The sequence below is a fragment of the Homo sapiens genome, chromosome 10, assembly GCF_000001405.40.
Source record: "Homo sapiens chromosome 10, GRCh38.p14 Primary Assembly".
In the NCBI taxonomy this organism is placed as follows: domain Eukaryota; kingdom Metazoa; phylum Chordata; class Mammalia; order Primates; family Hominidae; genus Homo; species Homo sapiens.
The window spans coordinates 33,483,636-33,497,373 of NC_000010.11; the positions used below are offsets into that span (position 1 = coordinate 33,483,636).

The 13,738-nt window shown below is 41.0% G+C and overlaps 1 annotated feature.

Moving 5' to 3' along the window:
* Positions 1,118-1,657: an enhancer, noted in NCBI's record as "NANOG hESC enhancer chr10:33773681-33774220 (GRCh37/hg19 assembly coordinates)". NCBI's record gives its function as "activates a minimal SCP1, AML or CMV promoter by ChIP-STARR-seq in naive H9 embryonic stem cells {active_cell/tissue: H9 hESC(naive)}" and the evidence as "EXISTENCE:reporter gene assay evidence [ECO:0000049][PMID:30033119]".

Genomic DNA, 13,738 nt, shown 5'->3' on the forward strand with positions numbered 1-13,738 from the left:
CATTGTTTACTGTGCTAAAGTGAGCCACTCCGTTTGAGACAGCTCATTTTGGACTCAAGCTGAATGCCATGCCTGAGTGATCTGACTTCTAACAAAGCCACCAATAGACTCATTCTGTTGTTTAATTTGAATGAGAATTAGCTGCTGCTTCGTGCAAGCCAAAGACCCTCTATTAGAAACTGGTTCTCTAGAAATGTTTATGGAAGCCCAGTGGCTGCAGCATTTTGGAGGGGTGTGAGAATGATCTGATCTTCCATGGAAGCACATTGCATTTCCAATCTCACCATTCCACTTCAGACTCAAGCAGATGTGGCAGGGAGAGGCGGTAATATATTTTGCCATATGTCAGGGCCACTGTGTCACTCAGACTCCCAGGAAATGACACAGACTCAGGGAAAACAGTGGCCCATATATTTTCATTAAAAAGAGAGCATGTGACTGGTTCACAGTCAGGGCAATTGACACAGACCCCTTCTCCAAGAGCGTTATATTAATATTAGCAAGAGCACAGGGCCACGGCTGCTGAAGTTTTAGTCCACAGAGTCAAGAAAGCACAAAATCCAAAAAGCTGGGATTTGCAAGACACTGTTCCCAAAAGCAGTCTCCCTGATAGGTTTGCACAAAACTCTTTGGGGTAAGCAGTAACTGTACCCTTCACACTGTGGCAGGTCCAGCCACAGGCAACATAGAACATTCTAGCCTTGCATCTTAAAACATGCCTTTTAATAATGTGACCTGGAGAATCTGAGTTCAACATACAGAGTGTCTGAACACTTTAGAAGTGATTTATCAGGGTCCTAGTATAAGAATCGAGGCCCAGGCAGAACCAAACTGCCTGCTTCTAACAACTCCTTTTCGAAGGACCAGCTTGTTTTTATATATTTCTTTGTGATATTGCTCGGAATCTGTGTCTCCATTCAGAAACCCATCCAGTATCTATTTTTTTTCAAAAAGAAGACAGACCATTTGTCTAAGATCAGATGAGCGTGATGGAGGACACAAACATTATGATTGAAATATAATCAAGATATTAATGCAATCGGTACTGTTTTTAGAAGAAAAAAATTGATGCCATAATTCAGGGTCACCATGGCAATCCTTATTTGCTTATTAATTTGTTACTACTTTAAAGTTTTCCTCTTGGCTCATTCAATGTAGCCTGGCAAACATCCATACCTTGTTTCTCATGGTGTTTATTTGCTCATTCCATGATTTTTACCAATGATGCTGGGCATTTTCAAGATTCAGCCTAACAATGTACATGGACAGGCTTAGTCTCCTCTGGGATTTTCTGCCTGGGATGATGCAATTTCCAGGAGCTCATTACACCATAAAGGAGACGCACGCCCCTTTTCTTAGGAAACAATCTTCTGTCTGTTGGAGGTCTCTTGCTCTCCAGTTTAAAAAGCTTTAACTGTGCTTTAAGACTTTGTCATTCAATTCTTATTTATTCTTCTTAATCTCCTTGGGATTCTTACATTAGGTGTACAATAATCCTGTTAAGCCCTCAAGACTTCTCCTAAATGAGTGGCAGTTCTGGGTAATGGATTGAAATATCCCTTGCATTTTCTAGAAACACTGTATCTTGTTTTATGATCGTCGTTTTCTGGGAGTCCCAGCTAATTTAGGAAGTGGGGAAAAGAAAACATTTGCTGAATCTCAGCTGAGAACAACACGAAGATGATCATCCTAGGGAAAGTACAAAGTATACAAAAATAATACAAAAAGGCAGGTTTCTCTCCTTCAAAAAGAAAGTCCCCATTTATTCTTTCCCAGTGAAGTCTCTGACTTCTGAACTCTCTGACTACTCCCAGGCAGTTTGATGTAGTTCTCTTTTCATTGTTGTGGATACAATGGTGAACCTTGGATAATGGTGTGCCTCACAGACCAGGCAGGAAGTGAGAACCTGAAATCTGCAGAAGCAGGGTTTTTAGAAAGCGGTAGAATCTTAACAGGCGAGAAGTCAAAAGTCAGAATGCAAGGGTATCAAGGTGAAGTAAGACAGAGGTTCAGCAACCAGGAAAGAACACAATGCCACAAGTTCCCAGGTCAAAGAAAGACAGAGGGTCAGCAAGCTGTTGGGCATCTAGGACTCTACTCATGAGACATGTGGAACAGAGCTTGTAATTCAGCCTCTGTGAAAAAGCCCTTGACATGATTTCTGCTGTGGAAGGAGTCATTTTCATTGTATTTGCAGCCCAGGGACTGAAAATAAGGGCTGATGATGATGGGAATATAATAGAATGCTAAGCTGGGTGTGGTGGCTAGCGCCTGTAATCCCAGCATTTTGGGAGGCTGAGGTAGGTGGATCACCTGAGGTCAGGAGTTTGAGAGCAGCCTGGCCAACATGGTAAAACTCCGTCTCTATTAAAAATACAAAATTAGCCAGGTGTGGTGGTGGGTGCCTGTAATCCCAGCTACTTGGGAGGCTAAAGCAGGAAAATCGCTTGAACCCGGGAGGCAGAGTTCGTAGTGAGCTGAGATTGCACCATTGTACTCCAGCATGGGCAACCAGAGTGAAACTCTGTCTCAAAAAAAAAAAAAAAAAAAAAAGAATGCTAAAAGGGCTCTATTGAAAAAGTATATTTCTTACAACCTCCACTACTTAATATAGACCCCCTTCCTGTATTTGTTCATTTTTTAAAATTCCCAGAATAGATTACTGCAAAGTTTCCAACTTTCAGAGATCTTTAAGGCCATCTGGAAGCTTTGGATATAAGACATATCTAATCTTAAAGCACATCACCCACATTAGCACATGAAGTTCTGCTGAGGAATTTACTCAGTCCTTCTGAGCTTCAAGGAACAGGTTAATTCCAATGCCTTTGTCTGAAAAAAAATGGATCCTTCCTTTCTAGAGCTTTCCCTGGCAATGACCAATATCACAAGAACAGAGCCCTTCTCAGACAGCATTGCATCAGCACGAGCATAGGGCCATGGCTGTCCAGGGAGTCAAGAAAACACAAAATATAAAAAACCTGAGATTTGCAAGACATTATTCCCAAAAGTAGCCTCCTGGATTCTTTTGCATAAGACTGTTTGGGATGGGCAGTAAGTGCAGCCAGGACACTTGCAAGTCCAGCCATGAGCAACATAGAACATTCTAGCCTTGTACCCTAGAACATGCATTTTTATAATGTGATCTGGAGAATATGAGTTCAATACACAGGGTCGGAAAGTGGGAGCTAAGACAGGAAGGAGGATAGGGTGGAACTCAAAAACAAGACTTAGGTGGTGATGGAGAATGCTAAAATTTTAGCCATATAAGTACAGAAAAAAATAGACAATAACACATGTATGTATCTATTTCAACAGTTTCTGGGTGTTTACAGTGTACCGAGCACTGTATATTTGACCAGATACCAAAGAGAGTCGGTGAGAAAAATACCAGTGGCCTCTAACCATCTCTGCATTCAGACAGCAAGAAAGTTTTGAGAGAAACCAGGATATCTAGGAAACGATCCAGACAGGTTTGGAAAGATAGTCCTTTTAGACACAGCACTTCAGGAAGTATATGTTAAAATGGCAAAAGCTCTAGATTGAAGTCTGGGTTTCAGTTTCGGTTTTAGAATTTTGAGCAAGTCTCTAAATTTTACTGGCTCTCTGTTTCTACTTCCATAGACACGATGCTTTGTTAACCCTGGAGGAAGGACATCATTGTCCTGCAGGATGCTGGGTGTTGTTATGAATGCAAGAGCCAGCAGGGGATGGTACAGAGGATGCAGAGACCAACTCTCCCTAAGAGCTCAAAGCAGCTTCACAAGCATTTGAACTGGGCCTTGAACAGTGAGCACAAATTCTTCAGGCAAACAGAGATGGTAAGTTGTCTATTTCTGGCAGTGAATAGAGAAAATAGCATTTATTAAGGTCCTGAAGAATTCATGCTTTCATCCATTTATTCAACAAATATTTAGTGGTAATTTATTAATAATGAACAAATTATTAGTTATTATTAGTTATGTTGATTATTAGTATTATTAACTGACACTGTTGTAGGCACTGGACTACAGCAATAAATAAGGCACACCATGTATCTGTCCTCAAACTCTACAATCCAGTGGCAGGGAATGAAGGAAACTGAGGTCAAGTTATGCAAAGTGAACCAGAGATGATGCACAAAAGGATGATGCTCCGGCAGGGCATGGTGGCTCACGCCTGTAATCCCAGCACTTTGGGAGGCCGAGGCAGGTGGATCATAAGGTCAGGAGTTCGAGACCAGCCTGGCCAACATAGTGAAACCCCATCTCTACTAAAAATACAAAAAAAAAAAAAAAAAATTAGCTGGGCATGGTAGCGGGCTCCTGTAATCCCAGCTACTCAGGAGGTTGAGGCAGGAGAATCGCTTGAACCTGGGAGACGGAGGCTGCAGTGAGCCAAGATCACGCCACTGCACTCCTGCCTGGGCGACAGAGAGAGACTCCATCTCAAAAAACAAAACAAAACAAAAAAATGATGATGCCCCATGGATGGCTCGAACCAGAAATAGGTAAAGATGAGATCCAAAGTGGTACTGAAGACATTTCAGATTTATTAACTACACACAAAGAGTAGTTGGGGCTTTTGAGGTTTTCTGTTTATCCATTCAGAAATATTTACTGAACACTTGATGTTTCTGACACTGTTCTAAAATCTTTGCATGCATATTTCCGTGGCAATCTTGCAAGGTAAGAACTATTCCATTATCATTTTATAATACATACCAGGAAATGAGCACTGAAAGGCATGAGTACTATGCCTACGGTTATATGATAATAAGGAGTATATCTTGGATTTGAACCCAGCTCGGGCTAACTCCAAAGCCCTTTCTCATTTTACTACATCAGTGAATCACACCAGGCTGATCATAGCAGAATTTATTGAGGGAGGGGCCCATGTATCAGTATTAATTTTTCTATGATTTATTTATTTATTTTAATACAGATGGGGTCTCACTATGTTGTCCAGGCTGGTCATGAACTCCAAGCCTCAAGCAACTCTCCTGCCTAGGCCTCCCAGAGTGCTGAGATTACAAGCATGAGCTACTACATCCAGCTTCAGTATTTATTTTATTTTATTTTATTGTAGTTTAGTTTTTTTTAGTTTAGTTTAGTTTAGTTTTGAGATAGGATATGGCTCTGTCACCCAGACTGGAGTGCAGTGGCGTAATCTCGGCTCACTGCAACTTCTGCCTCCCGGTTTCAAGTGATCCTCCCACCTCAGCCTCCTGAGTAGCTGGGACTACAGGCACATACCACCGCACCTGGCTAATTTTTGTATTTTTTGTAGATACAGGGTTTCTCCATGTTACCCAGGCTGGTCTTGAACTCCTGGGCTCAAGCAACCCTTCTGCCCCAGAGTCCCAAAGTGCTGGAATTACAGGTGTAAGCCACTGCGCCTGGCTCAACTTTACTGTTTTTAAAAAGATGTCTAGCTAGTTCCAGTGTGCACCTAGGCTAGGGAATAGTTGCCCTATATAAAAAGCAAAACACAAACAAAACAAAACCCTCAGGATAACTACCTACTGATTTAAAATATAAGTTGGCATTCATTAGCATCTTGCTTATTTTACTCATGTAATGATTTGCTTGGATGCCCAGGTTGATGGGAAAAAGGGGTTCCATGTAGTTGAAAAACCTAGACAGTAGTCAACATGCAGGCACCATGCTCGTTCCTCCCCTGACATTCAACGCTAGGTTGAGATCACATCGTTACATGGGATAACACCGTCTTTTATTGTTCTTTTATTGCTATGTGATCTCCTGAACTGTGTTCCTCCAACTTAGAATTTAAAAAGAAACATTTCTGGGTTCTGCCTAGTAAAACATAAATCTTGGAAAATCAAATCCCAACTAGAGAAATCTGGTTTGGATCAGAGTAACTAAATCATTAATCTGGATCTTTCTCCAAAACTGGAACCCACCCAAATCCAATCCATGATATATATGAAAGAGGCCAGATATTTAGATGGACATTAATTCTTTCTTTTTGTTGATGTGTTTGTGCTGACAGAAGAGTCAGAGACCAAAGGCAGAATACTGAAAGATTGTGTTTGGGTATTTTTAGCCTGATTAAAATAAGGAATGATTTAAAACTATTTCAAATAGCTCTTCCCACAGAATTCTGCAAATCTTCCAGCCTGCTTTCTGGACCAGAGAAGCTTGGCTAAAGGAGCTGGACATCGGGCAACCCCTCCCATTTGGATTGAGCCTCCAACATTCAGAGGTTGCACCCCATCAGTCTAAACAACATTTTTTTTTGCGTGATAGAAACACAGACCACAGATTGGAATTGTCTGTTTGTACTTAGATGGGAAGTCCTAGCAGTTCTCATCAACCCTTGAAGACGTTAAAAATCACGCCACAGTTGGCCAACCGTCTGTTTACCTCTTGAAGAACTCTCTCAGATGACAGTAATCACAGGCAGGTTCTGAATCACAGGCTGATGTTAACATGTACCAAGGCTATACCCCCTGGAAAAGCCTATTTCCAGCCTTCTGAGGCTACTTCATTACTACCCTGGCTTTCCTGGCTCCTAATGGTCAGGGTGGAGGGAGGGACGGAGGTAGGGGAGATCTGGGAAGCCTGGTTAGCTAGAAGTTCCTGCCTTGTCACAGCACTAATCCTGCAATTTCTCCATTGGATTTCTGGACTGATGAGCAATTTTGATGCTGATAAGGCAGAAACACAATCACTCTCCTGGGCCCTTGTATTTTGCAGGGTAACTTGGATAATACACCCCATCTCGGCACCTCTGCGAGTGTAACTCATTTCCTCTGCCCAGAGGAGAAACAAGGACTCCTTGGACAAAACGGTGCTTCCTTTCATAGCCAATGAATTGGGCATTTCTCCAGGTTCTGTGAAGCTTATTTAGTGACATTCCCCAAAACCTGTGCCCCGAGAAGTTCCTTCTTCTCTGACTTTAGGTAGAGTCCGAGATTCATTTCAGTGATTTGGCTAACATGTAAAGTGTCTCACATGTGAAAGAGAATCAAAATAACTTGAGCACAACAACAGACAAACAAAAGCAATACTTGACCAAGACCTCTTGTACTTTTTCTGCTCTGGGACTCTCCAAGCACTGTTCACAAATGCAGTGTATGTGGAAATCTATGGTATTGTTATGATCTGTCAGTGATGGTGCATATTAAAACCCAGTTTTAGTTAATATTCACTCATAGCCTTTGCTTGTTAATATTTACACACTTGGCTTAGAAGATAGAAAGGCTCGGCCAGGTGTGGTGGCTGACGCCTGTAATCCCAGCACTCTGGAAGGCCGAGGCAGGCGGATCACGAGGTCAGGAGATCGAGACCACCCTGGCTAACACAGTGAAACCCCATCTCTACTAAAAATACCATAAAAAATTAGCCGGGAGTGGTGGCGGGTGCCTGTAGTCCCAGCTACTCAGGAGGCTGAGGCAGGAGAATGGTGTAAACCTGGGAGGCGGAGCTTGCAGTGAGCTGAGATCGCGCCACTGCACTCCAGCCTGGGCGACAGAGCGAGACTCCATCTCAAAAAAAAAAAAAAAAAAAAAAAAAAGAAGATAGAAAGGCTCAACAGAATTCTACAGAAAGAAACTCGAACCATCCAATCATGACGTTAGCGATGTGTTGTCTCTAATCAAGTTACCTGATTACCTAGGTAACAGGAGGCCTTAGCAGTCACCCCTGGCACGCATGGACCACTTACTGGCAACTCTTTTGTGGCTGTGAATTCATATAGTATTTGGTTAAATGGTGACACAAAATTGATCCCTAGTGCGATATTCAGTGGATTTTTCTCATTTCTAAATGGGCATTCCACACTGAAAACTTGCATGCCAGTTGCCCATACAGAATGCTCTTTTATTCTTTAAGAATGGAAAATAAGTCATTTTCATTTGATTCAGAGTGGACAACCTCACGTGGGGACAGGAAAGTCTAACCAGAGATTTCAACTGGGGTGTCTGAAGTGTAACTTGCTAGATACATTTGGAACTATCAGACATTCTATCTGCTATACTTAGGGTAGAGGGATTAAGCCTGCATATTCAAGAATGAAACTCCAGCTTTTAAGCCTAGCTTATTATTTTATGTATGTGGGCAAATTAGTTAGCCTCTCAAAACCTTAGTTACTTCATTTTAAAAATAATTATACTGTAATCCCAGCACTTTGGGAGGCTGAGGTGGGTGGATCACCTGAGGTCAGGAGTTTGAGACCAGCCTGGCCAACATGGTGAAACCTCATCTCTACTAAAAATACAAAAATTAGCCGGGTGTGGTGGCATACGCCTGTAGTCCCAGCTACTTGGGAGGCTGAGGCACGAGAATTGATTGAACCTGGGAGGTGGAGGTTGCAGTGAGCTGAGATGAAGCCATTGCACTTCGGCCTGAGTGACAGAGTGAAACTCTGTCTCAAAAAAAAATAAAAATAAAAATAATTATAAAATAGAATCCGCAGTGAGGCTTAGGCAAGATCAACTCTGTCAAGTGGCTCGCATTCTGTGCATTGCACAAGTGGTAAATTCGATTCAATAAACTATCTATTGTTATCATTTTATTATTACTAAATGTGCTTAATCTTGAGAGGCTGCTGTAAAACTCAGTGGCATTTCTAGTCTTAAAGCTGGTTTCAAAAGGAAACTTCTCCATTCGCATTATGACATTTAAAGTTGTTTCTCTGAGGCTTTGGGAAGATCTCCAAGTTCTCCTAACACAATAGAGATCATTTTTATACTCCCTGTAACACCTACGTGGTTAGAGGACAAGAACTGGGGATCTTTATTATTCCAGAGTCTGTCCAAGTGATGTCAAGGATCCTGAGTTGGGACAAGAAAGTAGGGTTACATGCCCCACATCCTACTGCTACATTTTGGGCTTCGGGGCTCTTGGTCTGCTCAGGGTTTGCCCGGGCTGCAAAGTAGTGCTGGCTCATGACTCTAATAACTGCATTAACCATGTCCTCCTCCTTCCATCTCAAGGTTGCCCAGTGGGAATTGTGAATGCCGGGACTCTGCATTTCACAGTTAGTGGATCTGGCTAAATAGATGGAGTAAGTGGGCTTAATTGATTTTTCCCCAAGTTGAGACTTGGGGTAAAGAGGCAAGAATGGGTTTGTAGTGAAGAATCAACTTACCACTGTCAACATGCGATAAGAAATCTAAAAGATTTTCATTGTTCACTAAACAAGACTTCAGCTGGGACTCCCTCTAAAAAGCAACAAACTGTGATTAGAGGAGTCCCAAAGGATGATACGAGCTAAGATAAATGAGCTAAGACATGTTCTATTTGAAACATTTGGGTCTTTCTTGGCAAGAGACATACTCTTATCTTGATAGTGTCTCCTTTCCTTTTCAATTTTTATTTATTATAAACAAAGATTATCCTCAGACTTGAATCTGTTTTGCCAGGATACTCCCCTCCAACATTTTGTCCTTTTCCACTGCTTCCCTTCTCTTTTTTTTTTTTTAAACTATAGGTATGTAATAGGAATTTCCTTCCTTCAAGTAATTGATTTATTTGTGCTGACATCATCAAAATGTCTCAACATGAATTTGATTTCATGTCTAAGATGTTTAAGAATACATATTTCTTACCCTTAAAAACAGAAAGTCATTTTTTTTTTTAGTAAAGTAACTCACCCCTGAAAAACTTGGGCTCTGTTCAAAATTCCCAACATGTGACTTTGAGGATCATCTAAAAGAGTCTCTCCTGGTCTTTCACCATAACGTTCCCACGGTAAATTCACTAAAAACAGAAATGCTCAATATATAAGTTAAAAACCCTGTCAATTTGACCCACATTCGAAATGTTTCAGTGTATCCAGAACACATCTGGACCAAGGTGGGTTGTTTTTTCCTCCTTAAAAAAAAAACGAAAAAAAAAACCCTCACTCGTTTATGTCTTTATATCTTAAACAAAATGAATTAATGGCTTTTAAACCCTTGAAGCACTAAAAAAGGAAAGTGCTTTCAGTCTGACAACTTCAATGATAAGTTGCAGTCCAATGTGTTTTGAAATGGACCAAACATAAATCCATCTTCAATAGGGAGTTTTAATTGGAAGCCACACTGACCCTTAACTCCAGTGTTGCTGCCACACAGCTTTTGATAATGAAGACTGACAAATTGTCTTCACTGGATGTAGACTTTCAATGCACTCCTCCCACGGCCTTGGCCGCACCAGGCATTGGGAAGGAGACGTGCATTTCCCAGGTGTGAGAGGACAACAGAGGTCCACTCCAAGCTACTGGACAGCATCCCCCTCCATGGGGGAAGCAGGTGCCTGAGGAGGAAAGGGTGCTGGGAGAGAATCACACATATCTGAGCAGTGGGAAGCCCAGGGAAACACCTCTGAAGTTAAAAAGAAGGAGGATGTCAGGGGAGAGAGAAAGAAAAGAAACCATCTTTCTTATGGAGAATTCCATCTGCTTGTGGCCTGTTTGGGAACTAAGTTATAGAATGTTTTTGGGCTTCCTAAGATTGATGTGGGAGGGGTTGCAGATCTCATGCAGAGCTCTGATGATTTTTTTTTTTTTCTGAAGAACAGCAAACCAGAAAACAACGGGAGTTTGTAGCTTAGAGAGTGCTGTTGAGCAGAGATTGTGATATTGAGACCATTCCAGGAGAGGAAGTTTTAAGGCCAAAATTAAAATAGCACATTTGTTCCTTGCAATTTGACTTCAGAATCCCCCAAGGCTCCTTCCTTGAGAAGCCTTATTTTTTATCTGAGAGATGTTGTGCACCATATGGATTTTTTTTTTTTTTTGGTTTACGTTCTGAGTTTGCCAAGAATGTCTTATGAGACACAGTACCTCATTTTCCATGGGTGTCCCAAGAGATATCAGGTACCTTCAAAGCTCTCTGTATTTGCTCTGGTAAATGTAAACATGCAGAATAAAACAACACTATTTAGCAAATAAAATGATACTCTCATAACTTTTAAGCTGTGCAAAGCATAATTACTGCAATCTCAATAATTATTATCACTTAATGTTGAAAGAGCACCAACCTTCATTCAGAAGCAAATTAAAATTGGAACCCAGCCTTGACATTCATCTATTAAGACTCAAAGCCTCAACAGAAGGCATATACATGTTTGAACATTTTGACTGAATTTACAGGTGAATTCAATCAATGTGTCAGTTCCCACTGAACTTTCAAGTTGATTGACTACATTGATTGAATAAGTTGACCTATTGTGTTGTCAGCTTGGAGACTTAGCCATTGCATCATCATGGAAGTAGGGAGTTAGCTATGGGACTCAGACCTCAGTGAGAAAGGAGAAATCTGGAGTAGCTGAGTATCAGTCTCTTTGGAATTCTTCACATTTGTTACTGGTATGATGTTGGCAACCCTCAAAAGAATGAATCCATTAAAGTGGACTTCCAGTGGAGTTGTAGAAGTGTTGAATTTAAGGGGAAAACATTCAACCCTCCACTGACAAGCTCCTTTAGACTTCTTTGGCTTCACTTTTTTATTGCTGGCAGTCTTGGAATAACAGACTGCCTCCTGATCTTTCAGCATCTTCTCTGTAGTTCTCAGGCTTACTGGGTACTGTGATTTCAATCTGGAAGACTCTCCATTGCCTGGATCTTTGTTAGCTAAGAAACCACCTTCTTTTCATTTCCTAAACAGTTTTAAGATTGAGAACAATTATTCTTGCTGTCTGATTTTATCTGCTGAATCATAAAAATCTTATCCAGGGCTCAAAATACATACACAGTGACAGAACAGAGAGAAGGAACAGAACTCCCAGCCCTTTGAAGATCTTGTATTTTGTTCATGTAGGGGTATTGTTTGTTTGTTTTTGAAGTTTGTGCTTGGAGTACTCTAGTCTACATGTTTCTTGAGGAATATTCCAGGAAATATCAAATACATACGTATACATATATATATGCAAAAAACTTTTAAATATGACTTATGTAAATAAAAAGTGTAAATTGTCTTATAATATAAAAATATTCACAGCAAGTTGCTAAAGTACCCCCCCCCAAAAAAAACCTATTGTATTTAGCACAATAACTAAAAGAAGTACAACTGCCCCTTGAACAATGCATGGGTTGGAATACCACCCCCCAACTCAGTCAAAATTTTGTGTGTAACTGTTTGTTTTTTTTCTGAGATGGAGTCTTGCTCTGTTTCCGAGGCTGGAGTGAGCTGGTGCAACCTTGGCTCACTGCAACCTCCACCTCCCAGGTTCAAGAAATTCTCCTGCCTCAGTCTCCCAAGTAATTGGGATTACGGTATGTGCCACCACAACCAGCTAAGTTTTTTGTATTTTTAGCAGAGACAGGGTTTCACCATGTTGGCCAAGCTGGTCTTGAACTCCTGACCTCAAGTGAACTGCCCCCCCTGGGCCTCTTAAAGTGCTGGGATTACAGATGTGAGCTACCATGTCCAGCCAAAAATTTGTGTGTAACTTTTGACTCCCACAAAATATAACTAATAGCCAACTGTTATTGGTAATAGCTTTACCAATAACATAAACAGTTAAATAACATGTATTTTGTATGTTATATGTAATCTATACTGTATTCTTACAATAAAATGAACTAGATGAAAGAGAATAACATTAAGAAAATCATAAGGAAGAGAAAACATATTCACAATTTGTTAAATGAAGGCCTTTATCCTCAGTGTCTTCATGTTGAGTAGGCTGAGGAGGAGGAAGAGGAGGGGTTGGTCTTGCTGTCTCAGGGGTGGCAGAGGTAGAAGAAAATCGATGTATAAGTGGATCCACGTGTAAGTGGACCCACGTAGTTCAAATCTGTGTTGTTGAAGGATCAACTGTAAAGAGAACAGGGAACACAACCACAACAACAGCTTAGCCAAACTGAACATGCCGCCTTGAAAAGTCTTGCAGCAAGCTGTCTCCCCCAATATTCTACAGTAACTACCTTTGTCCATTCCGTTTCTGTTTCTAATTTCTTGGCTTTTGTAATTACTAGTTTCATTACGCTCAGAAAGGATGGTCAGGTAGACAGACACCTACTAAAAGTAATGCCCCAAACTAAAGGGGCTAATAAATGGTGAAGTTCTAGAAGGTAATCATTGTCACTTGTTGAGCATGAACTGTGCTCCAGACACCAGAGCAAGTGTTGTATATATTTTAACTCAATTAATCCTCACCATAGAGCATGGTTTGGGGCGTCAGACAGAGCTTGCATCCATGTCTTAGCTTTGCCATTTAACTGCTTGCACGAATGTAGAAAAGTAACTTAAATCTCTCCAGTCTCTGTTTGTTCAACTGTCATCAGGTACTGAAGAGCATCTGACAATTTCCTAAGGTAACTCTACAAGAGGGAATGATGCATGTTGAATTTCTGCATATGACATTATACCATGTATGAATTCTGTTTGCCACCAGGGCTTACCTTCACCTGCACAGTCATCTTTCTACCACCCCAACATGCCCAATTTCTTTAGTCTTTTTTGCATGGATCTTATTTCCAAGGCATTGAATCATCTTCACTGTCCTTTCTGAATTATGCTCGAACTCTCCATAATTCATTTTAGTTAAACTCCAAGCAAAACACAGCTCCCTAATAAGGGCCTGTCTGACATCGAGTTTAAGAGAGGGATTAGTGTGTGCATTTTGCATGCCATATACCTATACTTTAATCCCTAACCCATCGCTATGAAATAGCTTGCCCTCTATTTCAAATGGAGAAGCTGAGGCATGAAGATTAATGGTGTATACTGACATCACACAAATCCAGCAACAATTTAGCATTCTTTGCTCTGATCCAATTTTCATTAAACACCAATACTCTGTCTCTACTT